Source organism: Homo sapiens, chromosome 2 (assembly GCF_000001405.40).
Source record: "Homo sapiens chromosome 2, GRCh38.p14 Primary Assembly".
Classification (NCBI taxonomy): domain Eukaryota; kingdom Metazoa; phylum Chordata; class Mammalia; order Primates; family Hominidae; genus Homo; species Homo sapiens.
Window position 1 is genome coordinate 62471647 of NC_000002.12, and position 18326 is coordinate 62489972.

The following is an 18326-nucleotide window of genomic DNA, read 5'->3' on the forward strand; positions in this document are numbered from 1 at the left end:
AAGGAGTGCTGGGGAGGGGGAGGAGCTTGGTCTGAATCTTGAAAGATTAGAATTTGTCCGGTGCCTAGGAGAAGGGAGGGCCTTTTGGGCAGGGGGCAAGGCTGAGGCTGGAAGCCAGGGTAGAAACATGGCATGGATAATGGCTGTGGGCTGGTGTGCCTTGCTGTTTGTTGACAACTTCTGCACAGCAAAGCATTTAATGTCTGAACTCTTCTCCACGGGCTGCTGACTATAGTCGTCTATGGTGTTTCAGCCCATCTGGCAGAGGGACTCTTGGCCCCATTAACGTGCCTTTATCTATATTGGAAGAGCAAGAACTCAGATGCGGAGTCAAGGACCCTGGCTGGAGTGGGGAGCAGCCCAAAGCCCCAGGAGCAGTAGTGCTGAAGCCAACCTTGGCGGGGTTTCAGCCTCGGCAGCAGGTTGCTGAGAGTGTGGGTGGGAATACAGATATTTTGTTCAGGGAAGTGGGAGGAATTTCGAGTTCTTTTTGGAAAATAGGATAGGTTAGCTCATTTATTACTCATCCAGTCTTTTAAAGGATAACACAGACTTAATGCTAATCTAAAAGTATTTTCCAACAAAAGCTCTGAAATGTGAGAGGGACACAAGAAATGTCACAAACAGCTCCCTTTCCAGCAAAAGAAGGGTGGGCATGAAGAACCATAGCAGAGTCTTGGGGCTTTCCCTGCAGCCTGGAATGAGAAGCCCTTCATGGTCCATGTCTATTTGATTACTGCAGACTCTAGGCTTTCCATGCACCACTGAGGAAGTAAAATCGAGGGAGAGAAGGATATTTATTTATTGGCTCTGGCTGGCGTCTCCCCTGTCTGTCTCCCAAATGAAGCTATTTGGGCTCACTCCAAACCTTAGGGAGTGGACAGAGGCTAGTCTGCTGGGGATGGAAGTTTTGCTGGCTGTCATTCCACTCTCCCAACTACCCAAAATCCAAAACAGATGTATTTCCCAACCTTCCTGATCCAGACTCAGATGCTCAAGGTCAAGGGGATCTCCTCAGTATTATTTCTGGTCTCATGGACACTGGGCAATGGGGTGGTAGATTGCTTTTGGGTTCTCCCAGGTTTTAATGTGTCTCTCAACCAATGCCTAGAACTATGTTAGGCATAGTTGGGAGATAAAGAAAATGCACAAGACAGAATTGCTTGCCTCAGGAAGCACATGGAGGTTTAAGATATCAAGATCAACACATTCAAAACAATTAGAAGTAGACTGTGTCAAGGTGGCAATTAAAGGCAACTTTCTTAGAGCTCAGCCGTGGCTGGCCTATTTTGGAGACACAACACACACAGAAAGAAACTCAGGAGTGTCTGGGCTGAGAGATTCTTCAGGAGGCCAGAACTGCCTCTAGCAATAAGAACCAAACTCAGAGATGGGAAAACTTCAGGATGCAGGAATCACAAAAATCAGGTGGCTTCTCACCTAGAGATGATTTACTATCCCCTCCCTCTCCTCCATTAAGAGAATGTTAAATAATAGCCAACATTTATTATGCATCAGGCACTGTTCTAATTGCTTTAACAGAAGTAGGTCAATTGATCCTCTGAATACCAGTGAAGTAGGTACTATTATTAACCCCTATTTCTGGATAAGAAAACTAAGGTACTGGGAGGACCCAACCACACCGCCAAAACCCAGAATCCAGAGTAAGGTTCCTGATCCCAGGCTCAGCTGCTCCCTGTGGGCCAAGCTGAGGATCTGGCCAGGACTTAGGAGGTGAGAACATAGTAGAGACTGCAGCAGAGATGGTAGCCTGAAGCAGAGATGGCCCCTTGGAAGTTCTGGAGGGATGCAGAGATGTCCTTTCCTGGGAAAGTAGCCAAATCAAAGAACTCCCACCCAAGGCCTCTTGGCTGCAGAACCAGCTTTACCCCTCTCCTCCCCACTCCCTGCTTCAGCTGCTGGGAGTGAGGGAAGCAGCAGAGGATTGCAGCTTCCCCAGGCTTCTTGCTGATGAAATATCTCATCTACACACTTTCCTACTGTTTACACATCATGGTGAGCAGGTGGGCAGACCACAGCCATGCAGATTTTCAGACAGCCTCAGGAATACCAGGACTGGGGCTGGTAGGCAGAGACTGTATCAGCAAAGGACATGTTGGTGGAACTAATGACCTGGTAATTTCCACAAGGGATCACAGAGGGATGCTGGACAATGTGGCAGAGACTCTGCTTGCTTTGGAAACTTTCAGAAGAGAAAGGAGGAAGTAGGTCTTCTTGGAGGATCCCAAGCTTGAACTGATCATTGCAGAAAGAGTGGAAGTAAGAGGGGCTGGGTGTGAGTCTCCTGAACAGAGACGAGAAGGACTCTGCACAGCCACAGGACCATCCATGCAGGGACCCAGGGAGGCCACACTGAGGATGGGGAGGGGCCAGAGTGGTGGGGTGGAGAGGCCTTCACTGTGAGCTTCAGGAGGGCCTGCTTGTCAGGCTTTGGGAGTCCTCAAAGAGCCTAAGAAGGGAGCTGCTGCGTTCTCCACAAACCCTTATTTTACTTGTTTTGAATAAAACTGAAGCAAAAAAGGAGAGAGAATCCTGATTTTCCTTTTATAAGAGACAAAACTTCCAAAATAGTTCAGTTTTGCAGTCCAGTTGCTTTGATAGGAAAATTGTGTGGAGAGGGATATTTAAATGAGATCTATATCTGTGGTGAGAATAGCTCCATTTCCCTGAAATGTTTGCAGCCACAGCATTCCATGTCCACAGGCTTGCAAATCTCTCCCAAAGCTCAGCCCACAACCTGCTCTTCAACCCACGCTGAAGCTGCGTCTGTCTCCAGAACAAATAATACTATGTCTTTCTTCAGGCCATGAAAGCACGGTAACGTTCCTACATAAAATAGCAGCAGCTAAGGGGTCTTTGTTGAATTAAACAGGAGGCAGCAAATTCAGGACTAGATAATGAACACCTACTGTATGGCAGCTACTGGGGAATACAAACATGAATAAGACCTTACCCCTTGAAGAGGATCAGAGGGCCGGTGAACCCATGGGAGACACAGCCCAGGGTGCCCTGGGGGCTGGTAGCATGACAGACTTTTCTAGTTTTGGCTCTGAAAATTCCACATCCCAGGAAAACTACCCTAAACCCATATCCCCAGTCCCAGTTAAACTGGGGCTATTATTCATCTTCCGAGGGTCTCTGACTGTTGGAATCTGTTTCCTCATCTCGTTCCTTGCCTCTATCCCACCCCTGCAAATAGGCTTTTGAAATAAGCCAGCATTTAACTTCAGATAATAATAATGATTGATAATGAAACTAAAAACAGCAACAGCAATCTACCCTTGATGATAGTTCACCACCCCGGCTGCCTATTGGAATCACTTGGGACGCTTTTTAAAAAGATCAGCACCCAGGTCCTATCTTAGAACAATTAAACCTGATGTTCTCCAGGTGCTTTCCATGTGCAAGCAGCAGGAGAAACACTGCCTAGGGTTTAGGATGCTGCAGGAGAAGCTCCAGGAGAAGCAGCAGGAAGGGGGCTGCCCAACCCTGGTGTATTTCCTGGGGTGTTTTCAGCTTCTGAGCCAGACCAAGGCCACTCAAGGATGGTGAGGACAGACCCGGCAGGTCCTAGCACAGATGCTAATTTGGGAAGCAGCCTCTGAGCCGCACCACAGGCACTCCACTGTGTCTGTCCTGTCTTGGGGCACAGCGGCAGAGGCATGCCCACGCAGCCGGGCTCAGCGCCTCTTCGAGAGGGACCGCTGAGTGCGGCTGTCCTCTCCAGTGGGCCCGGGAACCTACGAGAGTCCCTGCCCACCCATTTCCAGCCCCCTGGCCTTGCTTCAACAAGTCACGCCTGGGCTGTTTTCTAGGCTGCTGCTCCCTGGCGGTTCTGGGTTTCCCATTTGTCACCTCCGTGAGAGAAATTAACAGTTTTGCCAGACCCCATATAAACAGGAAGGCAAGCTGTTAACAAGAGCCTCCTGCCCTGCTGCCAAGCCCAGAGCTCACGTTTCCTTTCTCAGAGCCTGTCAATTGTAAAGAGGAGAAAAGAAAAGAATGGGCTCTCTCTGGGCACTGTATGGGTTCTCTTGCGGCCACTTGAATGCCAGTGTCGGGCTCGCTGACAGCTGGGTCTGCAGCTGGCTGGTTTTGTCTGTTTTTTGAGGGACAGTCAGGGATAGCCACTGATTAAATCAGGAACAAAACATGACTACACTTGCGGCTGTGCAGACCAATGCTGCTGAACAGCAGAGAACAATTAATTGCCATGTTGTGGAATGTGTGGATGGGGGCGGGGAGGCAGTTGGCAAATGTAAGAATGTGCAGGAAAATGTCAAGCAAATGCTCGTGTTCATTAGAAGCTGAGGGAGAGGGAGCCAGCTCAGTGTGTTCCCAGGACCTACCACGGTGTCAGAGCTCTGGCCACTGCCTGCGTGCCCAGCAAGCAGCCTTCCCACTGGGGGCGGTCAGCCCACTGATGTGCTGCAAGGGGGTCATGCTTTGTCAAATAAGATAGGGAGCCCCTCAGCTCTTGGGGTGGCAGTTGTATCCATTTTCTTGAATATAGGGCACAAAAATGCCCATTTTCTATGTATGTTGTTGCAGAAAAAGGCTGGCTCCCTGCAGGTTTGCTGTGGGCTTCACTCTAGGCACTATGCAGCATCTACTGTGATGCTCTGGAAGCTTGCAGCCTGACTCTTATCCAAAAACCAGACAGGGAGGGCATTGGTGGGAGGCAGCAGTCCCTCAGCCTTCCACTACCACCAGGTAAGAAGATGGCTGCTCTTCAGTGATGCAGATTCACAACAGCTTCTGCAGAAAGACAGGAGCGGGAGGCTATGTGGATACAGGCACTCTTCAGCTTATGATGGAGCTACACCCTGATAAACCCATTGTAAGTAAAAAATATTGAAGTAAAAAATGCATCTGATACCCTGATAAACCCATTGTAAAGTTGAAAAATCCTAAGTTGCACCATCATAAATCAGGGACTATCTGTATGTATTTAAGCTAGGGAAGTGAAATGCATTCATATATTAAAAGAGATGGAAAAGAAGAAGAGCAAGAATGGTATCCAAAGGGGTCTGGAATAGCTGTGAGATGGTTTGGGGCCTGGACAAGGGGAATTTAGAAATTGTTGGATGCTTTTTGACATATCTCTATGAATGTTAAAGACTGAAATTCCTTTTTATAAAAGCTTTATTGCTTGCTGAGCTGTGTATTGGACTTCCTGCTGAGACTGAGCCCCACAAGGCCCTGGCATTTATTGGGGTTACAGAAGAATGTTATCTTTCCTATCCTGTGTCCTCCCTGGAGAGTTGAGCCCCAGATAAGGGATGGTGTGCAGGTGGTTTATTTGGAAGTTCTTTGGGAGGTGATCCTAGGGGGCAGAAGTGAGGGACTGGGGAGAGAGAGGGAAGGAGGGATAGTCAACATACGGTGTGTTATTGAGGCCATTGCCGAGCAACTGCAGCTTAATCCCTCCCAGGACCTTCTCTCACAGCCGGGAGCAGTGGCTCACGCCTGTAATCCCAGCACTTTGGGAGGCTGAGGCGGGAAGATCACCTGAGGTCGGGAGTTTGAGACCAGCCTGGCCAACATAGTGAAACCCCATCTCTACTAAAAATACAAAAATTAGCCTGGCGTAGTGGCAGGCACCTGTAATCCCAGCTACTTGAGAGGCTGAGGCAGGAGAATTGCTTGAACCCAGGAGGCGGAGGTTGCAGTGAGCTAGGATCGCACCACTGTACTCCAGCCTGGGCGACAGAGCGAGACTCCGTCTCAAAACAAACAAAAAAATCTCTCAGGGTTGTCTATCTGATGGTCAACCAGAAGAGGCATTCATCTGCAGCTCCCACTGGCCCCTGTTTGAGGGTTACACTGGAGCCATTAACTCCCTCACAGTCAGAGCTGTACATATGCGAGTGCTAAGTGGGCTCCCATTAGTGTCCACAGCATTGTAGAGATCCCAAAATAGAGAAAGCAAAAGACATGGGCTGGCTCTTAAGGCAAGAGGCTGTCAGGATGAGGCCAGCATAGACTGCAGTTAGAATCAGGGGTGAGGCTGAGATGGGAGGCAGAACACCAGAGGTATCTGATCTATTATCACACAGAATGTGGGCCAGGCCCCTTCCTGACTTGACCCTTGGAATGACTGAGATACAAACACAGGAAGGGTACGTGGCCTTAGGCCAAGCTGTGGCAGAGAAAACTTCAGAGCATCTCTACATTCCTTTATCTGCTGTCTCCTACCTTGAGGGGCCGCCTGACCTGCAGACTTTAAGGCACTCATGTAGTGGCAGCTCCTGGAACTCCCACTGCTTCACCGCCTTTCTGCGGGGCTCCCCTGCCCTACTGCCTGGATCCTACAGCTCCCCAGTAGTCCCACCAATTGCCATTAAACCTCCCAATCTTTACTGGGAGGATCTCTACTTACTGTTTCAAGGCAAAAAGATGATTAAACTATCTCACATGGTTGTAATTTGGGCCTAAAATAAATGACTCTAGTGGTAGCATTTCATGTAGGCAGGTCCAAGGAAGACAGATTTGTAGACAGAGTTGGGAAAAGGGTCAAAGAGCCAATGAGTCTCCCTATCCTGAGGGATGCCTTGACGGAGCCACAGCATGAACTCATGTTTTCCTGAATCCATCTCAGTTCATGTGACAGGATGGAAATGCTTCCTTTCTTAGCCAGTGTTGCTTGTAACGAGTTCCCTGCAGCTCAGGGAAGGGAGCAACATGTACTGCTTTGTTGCTTCCTGTATAGAGAAGGCAGGAATGAGGAAGTTCAGAGAACACTGTCCTGAGCAGCTGCCACAGGAGACCCAGCCCAAGCTCTGCATGCAGAAAGGCACATGGCAAGAAATTCCCATCCTGCACACGTGGATGTGATGGACACCCTCACTCCTTAAATTTTGAGGCAACTAGACTGAAAAGGGCTCTTGCTTGATTTAAACAATTGAACTCTTCCTTTTGGCTCAGGCATCTTGTTGCTTCTTGCACTGGCTTTGCCACTGACCTTGGGTAAGTCTGAGCCAATGCTGGATGAATAACAGAAGATGCTGGTCCCATTTATTTCATGTACTATGCTTCTGGTAGGTTGTGGTTAGTGCTGTGGTATTTTTATTTTTCTAGCTTTCTTTATTTAAAAAAAAAAATTAAAAGATAAGTTTTAAAAATTATTATTTTGAAGTTTACCGTAACTATTAGCTCTAGTTCTATCCTAATTTATGCTTCCTTTGAAACAATTCCCAAAGGGTCTTCTTTCCCAAAAAGGAGCCCAAAAGGGAGATTGGGGGGAGTTTAGAAAACTTAGATTCTGGGCTTTTAAAAAATTGACATATAATGATTATACATATTTCTGGGGTACATAGTGATGTTTTGATACATATAATGTATAGTGATCAGGGTAATTAGCATATGCGTCATCTCAAACATGTATCATTTCTTCGTGTTGGGAACATTCACTATTCTCCTTCTAGCTGTTTGAAACTATATATTATTGTTAACTATAGTCATTCGGCACTGGCAGAGAACACTAGAACTTAGTCCTCCTATCTAGCTGTAATTTTGTATCCTTTAACAAATCTCTGCTTATCACTGTCTTTCCCCTACCCTTCTCAGCCTCTGGTATCCTTCCTTCCACTTTTTACTTCTATGAGATCAACTTTTTCTTAGCTTCCAATATGAAGGGGGACATGCAGGGAGAGTGTTTAACTTTCTGTGCCTGGCTTATTCACTAAACACAATGTCCTCCAGTTCCATCCATGTTGCTGTGAATGACAGAATTTCATTCTTTTTTTTGTAGCTAACTAGTATTCCTGATGTATATATACCACATTTTCTTTACCCATTCATCCGTTGTTGGACACCTAGGTTGATTCCATATCTTCATATCTTGGCTATTGTGAATAGTGCTGCAATAAACATGGGGGTGTGGATGTCTCTGATATACTGATTTCCTTTCCTTTGTATAAATTCCCAGTAGTGGGGCCGGGCACAGTGGCTCATGCCTGTAATCCCTGCAGTTTGGGAGGCCGAGGCCAGCAGACTGCTTGAGCCCAGGAGTTCGAGACCAGCCTGGGCAACATGGCAAAACCCCATCTCTACAAAAAATAAAAATAATTAGCCATGTGTGGTGGCAAATGCCTATAATCCCAGCTACTTGGGAAGCTGAGGTAGGAGTATCGCTTGAGCACAGGCTGTTGAGGCTGTAGTGAGCTGAGGTCATGCCACTGCACTCCACCGTGAGTTAGTGACAGAGTGAGACCTGTCTCAAAAAAAAAAAAAAAAAAAAAAAAGATAAATTTCCAGTAATGGGATGGGATTGCTGGATCATATGATAGTTTTATTTGTAGTTTTTTGAGGAATCTCCATACTATTCTGCATAGTAGTTTTATTAGTTTACCCACTGACAGTGTATAAGGGTTCTCTTTTCTCTGCATCTTTGCCAGCATTTGCTATTTTTTGTCTTTTTGATAATAGCCACTCTAACCGGAGTGAGATGATATCTCATTGTGGTTTTGATTTTTATTTCCCTGATGATTAGTGACGTTGAACATTTTTTTCATGTCTTTCTTTGTTGGCTATTTGTAAGTCTTCTTTTGAGAAATGTCTACTCAGATCATTTGCCCATTTTTTAATGAAAAAAAATTTTTTTTTTCCGTTGAGATATTTGAGTTTCTTGTGTATTCTGGATATTACTTCTCCTCCATTGTGAATAGTTTGGAAATATTTTCTCCCATTCTTTAGATTGTCCTTTCAGTCTGTCGTTTTCTTTGCTGTACAGAAGCCTTTTCAACTTGATGTGATCCCATTTGTTACTTTTTACTTTGGTTATCTGTTCTTTTTGAGGTTTTACTTAAGAAATCTTTGCCCAGATCAATGTTCTAAGTTGTTTCCTCTATGTTTTCTTCTAGTAGTTTTATAGTTTCAGGTTTTAGATTTAGGTCTCAGATCCACTTTTTGATTAAGGGTGAGATGTAGGGGTCTAGTTTCATTCTTCTGCATATGGATATCTGGTTTTACCAGCACATTTTATTGAAAAGACTGTCCTTTCCCCAGTAAGTGTTCTTGGCCCCTTCGTAAAAAAAAATCTACTGGCTATAGATACATGGACTCATTTCTAGGTTCTCTATTCTGTGCCATGGATCTATGTCTGTTTTTATGCCAATACCATTCTGTTTTGGTTACTACAGCTTTGAATATTTGCAGGACTGGTAGTATTATGCTTCCAGCTTTGTTCTTTTTGTTGAGGATTACTTTTCCCTGAGGAGGCTATTCAGGGTTTTTTGTGGCTCCATACAAATTGTAAGATTTTTTTTTCCATTTCTGTGGAGTATGTCATTGGTATTTTGATAGGGATTGCATTGAATCTATAGGTGGCTTGGAGTAGTATGGTCATTTTAACAATATTAATTCCAATATTCTTCTAAACCGTGATCATGAGATGTCTTTTGATTTTTTATTTTTTGTATTCTCTTTAATTTATTTCATCAGTTTTGTAGTTTTCCCTGTAGAAGTCTTTCACCTCCTTGGTTAACTTTATTCCCAGGTTTTGTGTTTTTTTGTTGTTGTTTTTTGTTTTGTAACTATTGTAAATGGATTGCTTTCCTGATTTCTTTTTCAGCTTGTTCATTGCATATAGAAACATTAGTGATTTTTGTATATTTATTTTGTGCCCTGCAACTTTACTGAATTATTTCATCAGTTCTGAGAGGTTTTTGGCAGAGTCTACAGGTTTTTCTATATGTAAGATCACGTTGTCTGCAACTGACTTCCTCCTCTCTAATTTGGATGCCCTTTATTATTTTTTTTCTCTTGACTAATTGCTCAGCTAGGACTTCCAGTACTATGTTGAATAAGAGTGGTGAGAGTAGGCATCCTTGTCTTGTTCTAGTTCTTAGCAAAAAAACTTGCCGCTATTCCTGGTTCAATATAATGTTAGCTGTGGGTTTGTCACACATGGCCTTTATTGTGTTGAGGCACTTTCCCTCTATACATAATTTACTGAGAGTTTCTGTCATGAAGGGATAGGTCTGGTTTTATTAGTCAGAGTCTAATGAGAAAAACAGAACCCCTTAAAGGTGTGTGTGTGTGTGTGTGTGTGTGTGTGTGTGTGTGTAAGGGGGGAGCATTTAACCTTCTACAATTATGGGAGCTGGTTAAAGAGTCTGCGAGGCTATCGTCTTTGTGTCTAGTGATGGAGTTTGAAGTCCTTGGAAAAGATAGTTGGCAAGTGCAGGTGAGAAAAAGGACAAGCTGGAACCTACAAGCATAAAGTGGAACCTATGAGGAAGGATAGAAATCAGTGTCAGTTCCACCACTGCTGACTGGATGGTTTGTGTGTCCTTCAGAAAAGCTGGCATCCTCTGTCATGGAACTAAACACACATTTAGCCTGGAAGTTGGAGAAGCTGAAGAAGGATCCAGGGGAAGGTAGAACTGCTGTAGACTTGACCACTACTCCTTACCAACAAAGTGAACCAGTGGATAAAGGATAACCTTTGTGAGTGACAAAATGGCTGCTGCTTAACTTCCAAATCTCACACACGAGTTTCTCTATTGGCACAGCCTAACCAGAAACATATAGGAAAGGGAATTCTGTGAAATGTAGTTCAGCCTAGCCAAGCTGACATATTACAAAGCCACCACATGTCCTAAACAAAATAATAGTAAATTATTGTTCTGCAAAATATTAGCTACCATCATTTGAGCAGTGTTCCAGATGCCTTTATATAAGTTATTTAATCTCATCCTCATCCTGTGAGAAAAGTATTCTATCCCTGTTTGACAGGTGAGGAAATGGAGACTGAGAAGTTGTAGTGAGCATGTTGTTATGTACCATCTGGAACCCAAAACCCCTTTCCTGTGGGGAACTCATCCAGTGCAGTTTAAATTATTCAGTCTACCCTTAGTCAGAGGGATGAACATGTATCCAGGCTTGGTCAGTCAGAACATCTTATTCTGTTGGTCACAATGAATGGTCCATCGATAGGCCTTGACCCAGGCTGGGTCAAACAGAAACTTCCCTAGAGCTTTTCTACCAGGGAAGATGTGATCCTTGTCTCCTGAAAGTTGTGAGGTAAGTCTGGGGCTTCTGGTGGTCACCATTCTCAACATGTCGAGCACGCTCATCTGAAGGGTAGAAAAGAAAGATCATTTGGGACCCTTGATGCAGCCATGCCTGAAGTTTTCTGTGCTCTTGAATCACCCAGGTTGCATAAGCCTATAAACTTTATATTTGCTGAAGCTAGTTTGGGTTGGAGTTTCGTCAGTTGCTAAAAAGAGACTAATAAACAAATTGGTATCAGAAGAGGAGTATTGTAAGGGATCCCAAAATGTAGATTCCTTATGCATGGGGAGCAGACCCCTTGGGTTTTCCAAGTACATAAACCAATCAACTTTCAATTCTTCTGAAGAAAATGTAACTTGAAATCAAGAGAGTTATGTCTAATACGAAGGTTAAGTGACTTGCCCAAGGTTACCCAGCTAGTTAAGAGGAAGTACTGGAACTCAAATCCAGGGCTGTCTGATTCCAAAGTGTAGGCTCTTAACTGCTGCATCATGCCATAACCATGCTAATTTAGTCAACACATCTGGGCTTACAGCAGGCTCTGTCTCTGGAGCTTCTCAATAAAGATGGAAAAAGCTGCTTGAAGGAAAGTTTGAGGGGAGCTTTTCTAATTCCCTTTGGAAACAAAGGAAATTGTGGGGTGAAGCAAAAGTCGCTAGATTTTGAGGTCAAGAGCGAAGGCTTTGTTTTGGGATTACAGGCTCTGTAGGAAAAGGCAAGCAAAGCAAAAACCTCTGGGATTCATGCAGCAGTCCTTCCTTATTTATGCCTGTCATTTGCATTCTCCGTATGGAGGCCTTGAACAGACAAAGCAAATAGATGATTAAGGTGAAGTTCATTCTAGTCAGTCCCCCAAATCCTAAACCCTAGATATTAAGTTGCTACCTTATTTTTATGTATTTCCCAGGATACATTTTTTTTTTTTTTTTTTTGAGACAAGTTCACTCTTGTCACCCAGGCTAGAATGCAATGGCAGGATCTCAGCTCACTGCAACCTCCGCCTCCTGGGTTCAAGTAATTTTCCTGCCTCAGCCTCCTGAGTAGCTGGGATTACAGGCACGTGCCACCGCGCCCGGCTAATTTTTGTATTTTTAGGAGAGACAGGGGTTTCACCACGTTGGCCAGGCTGGTCTTGATCTCCTGACCTCAGATGATCCACCTGCCTCGGCCTCCCAAAGCACTGGGATTACAGGTGTGAGCCACCACACCCGGCCTACGATACAGATTTGAAAGTGTTCCTTCCCATTCCAGCATCCAGTCACCTCACAAGGAAAGGAGAGTTTCTCTATGACTAAGTTAAAATTTCCTGCCTTAGCTCTTCAAACAAGTGGAAAAAATCTGGTCTTCACTCAACAGTTATCACCATTTTAAAGCCTAAAGCCACTCTTCACCATTTTCCCTTCAAAGCTTAAGAAAGTTAATTTCACTTTTATTGCATTTTTCAAAGTTTCATTTCCCAATGATTTGGTTGGTGTCTTTCCAGACCATCTGCAGGGCCCTCTTTCTCTAGAGCAGCACCATCCATTAGAACTTTCTGCAATGGTGGGAACCTATATCTGCGCTTTCCTGTTCCAGGGGTTAGGGGATGTTCCCATTGAACAGTTGGGATGCATATGAGCCTCCTGTCATTTTTAGCATGGGCCCCTTCTCAGGGTTCCTGGGAGCAGCTCCGATTCCAGCTATGCCACACTCTGATTGGCTGCCATGTTCCTGCTGGACCTACTGTCTTGCTGTCTTTCTCTTATCAGCCACTATCAGCCACAGGAGACTGCTGAGCATTTGAAATGTGGTGTGTGTGACCAAGGAACTGAATTTAAACTTTTATTTACATTTAATTAATTTTTAAATTAAAAATGGTCACATGGAGCTAGCAGCTAACTTCCCCAATTACATGCAGTGCACCCATGTTCTGGTCTTGTTTCTAGCCTCCCAAGGATTATCCTTGCTCTTCTAAGACCTGCTGACTTTCGTTCAGTTTGTGGCCCACTAAGACCCTTTACGTTATGTAAACTCTTCATGGTTTCCAGCTTCTATTTGAGGGTTTTGATATGTTCTCATGGCTTCAAGTCTGTATTTGTCACTACTGAAATCCTGTTTTTACTCCTGTTTTCCATATTGTTTGGAATAGTTCAGCTTTGACCAAAATGGATGGTCATACTATAGAGTGAGCTGGTGGAGAATTACATAAAAATTCCTCAGACAAGCAGAATGAGATATAAATGAAGAGCAGTCATGGCTTTCCCAACTAATTCATAATTTTTTTGTTTTTTGAGACAGGGTTTCACCTGTCACCCAGGCTGGAGAGCAATGGCATGATCTCAGCTTACTGCAACCTCCGCCTCCCAGGCTCAAGGAATCCTCCCACCCTAGCCTCCTGAGTAGCTGGGACTACAGGTGTGTGCCAACACGCCCGGCTAATTTTTTGGGTAATTTTTGTAGAGATGGGGTTTCACCATGTTGTGCAGGCTGGTCTTGAACTCCTGGCTCAAGTGATCCTCCTGCCTTGGCCTCCCAAAGTGCTAGGATTATAGGCATAAGCTACCACGCCCAGCTTGATTCATAATGTCTATTGCATCAGAGGATGCCATTGCTGTAAAAGTGGGGAAATGATAACATTGATTAGACTTCTACATTCCCTTATTTCTTCCCCCACTTCTTTCTCCCGAAAACCTACTTCCCTGATTGTCCTGCTTGTATATGTATTATCTTACTCTAGTCTTTGGAAATATTATCTCAAACTGGCCTTTCTAATTCTCAGAGGAGATGATAAAACTTCAACAAAAATATTCATGCAATGGAAGTAGCTCAAAAGGTCTAATAATGAGTATATTTTCCACCACGACTTTGCCCTTTTATAGTCTTATTGGCCTGTGCTTTTGACCTTGCTTTATACAACAGAAGAGTGGGACGCAGCTTTTAATATAAGATACAGGTTCTAAGACCCAAGAGATCAGGAAGTATACCTTTAATTTGATTAACACAATGTATCCTTTTAGCAGTTTTACTGCTCAAACTTAGTAAAATGTGAAAACCTACTGAAAGTTGATTTTGGAGACACCAACAGAAGACAACTGGTTATTTGCTGTCATTCTTTGGCACCGCTGAATTATGCTTGTCTCATGTTCAGTGTCTGCCCCAATCAGTGAACGGTGCTCCTGAACAGCCCCAAGAATCCTAGTCCCTCCACCCTCTTGTACAGAGCCAGTGCCTGTGTCATTTCAAGAAGATTTGCACGGAATTGACCTTACAAAGTGAATGTTTAATTTTAAAAACTGTGCTTTTTTTTCCCCCATTTCCATTTTAGTAAGCAGACCAGATGCTTTGCCAAATTTACCCTCAGCTAATTGCATAGTTCAATGTCCTGAAATGTGCCCTTGTTTGCTTAAAACCTGCTGATTTGCAAAAGAAATCGTTCCAGGAATGTGGGTCAGAGTGGACGCTCCTGTGGAAGCTGAATTGACCAGGAAAGAATGGTTCAGGCCTGGCTGGGGTGCTGGGTGCCTGTAAATCTGCAGGAATAGGGGACCCTCCAGGGCAGGATTTTCATTCTAATGATAAGGCTGCTGGAGGTGAGGGAGAACTGGGGCCTGAAGATGTGGACAAAAATCAGTTTGGCTCTGATCCACCTTTGGAATTCCCCTCAAGCTTTATATCTTGAGCAGGCTTTGGGTCAAGACTGAAATAGAATGTTAATGCACAGCCAGAGGAAAACAATTTTAAAATCTGGCATTTGCTCTGCCTCTGTCCCTGGAGGCCCTCTGATGAGATGTATGTGAAGTAGGAATGATCTTCCAGCAAGAATAGAATAAGAATGAAGTTGCTCAGTTACTTTTCCCTGTTTGTGAATCTGGAACCTGACTCACAGAGGTGTTCCTGGGCATTTGGCCCTAGGGGATTTGGTAGACTCTTGGCTAGCTCCAACTCCTGCTAACAGGGAAATTAGTTTGGAGAAGCCTGGAGGAGACTGAAAATAGAGGGAATGAAAAGAGACAAAGTGGATGCTGTTCTAGTGGAAGGGACAGGATGCAAGGATCATCTGCCTACTTTGGTAACAGTGGTGGTGTTCCCATCGAATATATGGGACAGATATGAGCTTCCTGTCATTTTTAGCATGGGCCCTTACTCAGGTATCCCAGGGACAGCTCCAATCCCAGCTACATCACTCTCAGGTTGGCTGCTGTGCTCCTGCCGGACCTGCTGTCTTTCTCTTGTGGATGCGCTTTGCTGATCTACAAGGCAGACACTGGGGGGTAAAGGGGGTGATGTGGGGTCGGGGAGCTGCTCAGTGTATTTCACTCAGCTCTCAGAATCCATCTAGAACTTGTTTCAGTCCTTGGAAGTTCAATCATCTTAATAATTGTGTTAGTTTCCAATGGCTATGTAACAAATTACCACAAACTTAGTGGCTTAAAACCATGCATATTTATTATCTTATAGTCCTGGAGGTCAGAAGAACAAAATGGATCTCACTGGTCTAAAATCAAGGTGTCAGCAGGGCTGTGCATCTTTCTGGAGGCTCAAGGAGAATCCATTTTCTTACCTTTTGCCACCACATTCCTTGTTTCATGGCCTGTTCCTTCTTCAAAGCCAGTCATAGCTGGTCGGGCCTTTCTCACATCACATCACTCTGACATTCACTCTTCTGCCTCCCTCTTCCTCATTTCGGTTCTCTTGTGATTGCATCGGATAATCCAAGATACTCTCCTTATTTTAAAGTCAGCTGAATGGCAAGCTCAGTTCCATCTGCAAACTGGATTCCCTTTTGCATGTAACCTATTCACAGTTTCTAGGGATTAGGATGTAGACATCTCTAGGGGATCATTATTCTGCCCACCATGATAATAAGCCCTCACTTTTTTAAAAGCCCTTTTAAATACCTCATTTGACCCTAAAAATGCCTGTGAAACAGGTGAATGGGTGGGATTATCCCCTTTAATGGATAAAGAAGCTAAAGTATGAGTCAAAAAAATTAAAATAAAAAAATAAAACTTGCACAGGCCCCACTCCAAGTTTACTTTGTTTGTTCGAGACGAAGTCTCGCTCTGTCGCCCAGGCTGGAGTGCAGTGGTGCGATCTCGGCTCACTGCAACCTCCACCTCCCAGGTTCAAGCAATCCTCCTGCCTCAGCCTCTGAATAGCTGAGATTACAGGCTCATGCCACCATGCCCGGCTAATTTTTGTATTTTTAGTAGAGACGGAGGTTTCACCATGTTGGCCAGGCTGGTCTCGAACTCCTGACCTGAGGTGATCCGCCTGCCTTGGCCTCCCAAAGTGCTGGGATTACAGGTGTGAGCCACCATTCCTAGCCCAAGTTTACTTTGAAATAGAGGTGGAACGGAGTTAAGCTATGGGCCACGGTGTTCAGTCTATTTCGAGGCTATTGCTCTAGATGACAATGCCTATCAAAGAGGAGGGATGTGGGGAAAGTATGACTTTGTATGGCCAGCTGTCAGACCTGGATTCAGATTGTATGTTCACACAAACTTGATCTACCTTTGGAATTCGTCTCGAGCTTTGTCATTTCCTCTTCTTGAGTCTGTGAGTCCTTGTTTTTGCCTTCCTGGGTGGCTTTGAAAGTGATCAATATGATAATTTTAACACAGATAGCTACTGTAGATAGGTATGACCCAAATGCAAAGTTACTTATATTTATTAAAATGAATGTCATAGAAAGATGCTGAATGGAGAATAAAAACCATGGCCCTGATACTGACATTGTTGAATTTTCCATGAAGGAGGAGTAGACAATTTGTAACAAGCAAGCAATATATGGACAAACTTTTTTTTTAAATAAAGGATGAGTTTTGAAAAAAAAAAAAAAAACTTAGAGAACCTATGATACTTAGGACAATCCTAAAAGCAACTAATAAAGAGGAATTCTGACAGCTGTTATGACTGCCATCCAAACATATAGGACCCAACTATGTGGTTCTCCCAATAAGCTTAATTCCCTCTGCAACTCGACTAGGAAGCTTAGGAATTGGATCTTGAATCTACGGAAATAAAGGAATAAAGAAACAAAAATCTCCAACCTACAAAGAGGCTGGATTTAAAAGGTTTACACTGAGCTGCTGTTTGCTAGCACTTCCTCTCTGTTTTATTCTACTTTTTTTTTTTTTTTTTTTTTGGAGTATAATTAAAAACTTCTCCAACCTTAGCACAGCTTCTCTGCTTAGGGGTCAGATTTAAAAAAAAAGCAAAACAAGACACACACAGGAACACCCTATTGGGGTACTTGATTGACTTTTAGTCAATAATACAGGGATGTAGGCTTTTAAGCCAGGAATTAAACTTGAAAACAATGGTGCCTTCCACGGACACCCTTACCAGGTGACTCAAGGTTGGCAGAACACATCACATATATCCCCTCAGGTATGAAAATGGTAAATGTATCCTGGAGTGGCCCAGCATCTCAGAAAGCAATTATAATAAAATATTCCTAGGATGTGTTTTCCCTGAGGATGAGTGATGACTTTGACTCTTCATCTTCTAACTCCAAAGCACTGCTGTCTCAAATAGTCAAAATGACAAGGGAAGGAATGTTTTCGTTGGAGAGTCTCAACGCTGTTTCCAGCACATTTTTCCATTTGCCTGACTGCTCTTGGCCCTGAATGGAGTCGGAGGTGGAGTTCTTTCTACTGAAATCATAAAAGTCTCTTTATTGGCATGTGTGCATTCAGATATGCTCTTGGTATTGCTCATGTTGTTAGCTGCAGCTGGGTTTGCTGTGAGTGAATTGTTTTTGTCTTTAGTTAGGATCACATGTTGACTCATGACTGCCTGTATCCTGCGATTGGAGTAGGCATTTTAGTAAGGGGCTTAATTATTCTTGTATTTTTGTTTTGTCTTTTTCACTCTTCAATCCATATGCTTATTTGGGCTTGCTTGCAAAAGGAAGAAATATTTGGTTCATTCCATTTTATGCAATAAAGGCAAGAGCTTACTGGGGGCTTGGGAGCTGTTTTTATAACATAGGGGGCTGTTTTCATGACCTAGCAGACTGAAGTTTTCAAAATAAATTGGGCAAGCCTTAGGCGTTACTAAAATGTTGTGAGATAAGGAGTGCACTTGTGCCCCAATTTGAACTCTGTTAAAAAAATTTTTAAAAATCAAAAATAAAACAAAAACCTTGCATCAAAGTGTTAATATGTAAGCCTGTACATTTGAGCTCCACAGTCTTTACACATATTAAATCAACAATCAGTCAGCTGGGCATGGTGGCTCAGGCCTGTAATCTCAGCACTTTGGGAGGTCAAGGTGGGTGGATCACTTGAGGTTAGAAGTTC

At 43.9% G+C, this 18326-nt stretch overlaps 1 protein-coding gene across 3 annotated transcripts in view, besides 1 other annotated feature; it reads right to left on the reverse strand.

The window, feature by feature from the left end:
* TMEM17 (transmembrane protein 17) overlaps positions 1-18326 on the reverse strand; it is a 52665-nt gene that overhangs the window by 18116 nt on the left and 16223 nt on the right. The window contains exon 4 of one of the 3 annotated variants that reach the window (XM_011532693.3): positions 10712-11102. The exons of the other annotated variants lie outside the window; for them this stretch is intronic. Coding sequence (XP_011530995.1) covers positions 10917-11102 — 186 coding nt within the window. The 3' untranslated portion in view covers positions 10712-10916. Of the gene's footprint in view, positions 1-10711; positions 11103-18326 lie in introns of those variants that run through there. 3 annotated transcript variants of the gene reach the window in all.
* Positions 3970-4702: an enhancer, noted in NCBI's record as "H3K27ac-H3K4me1 hESC enhancer chr2:62702751-62703483 (GRCh37/hg19 assembly coordinates)". NCBI's record gives its function as "activates a minimal SCP1, AML or CMV promoter by ChIP-STARR-seq in primed H9 embryonic stem cells {active_cell/tissue: H9 hESC(primed)}" and the evidence as "EXISTENCE:reporter gene assay evidence [ECO:0000049][PMID:30033119]".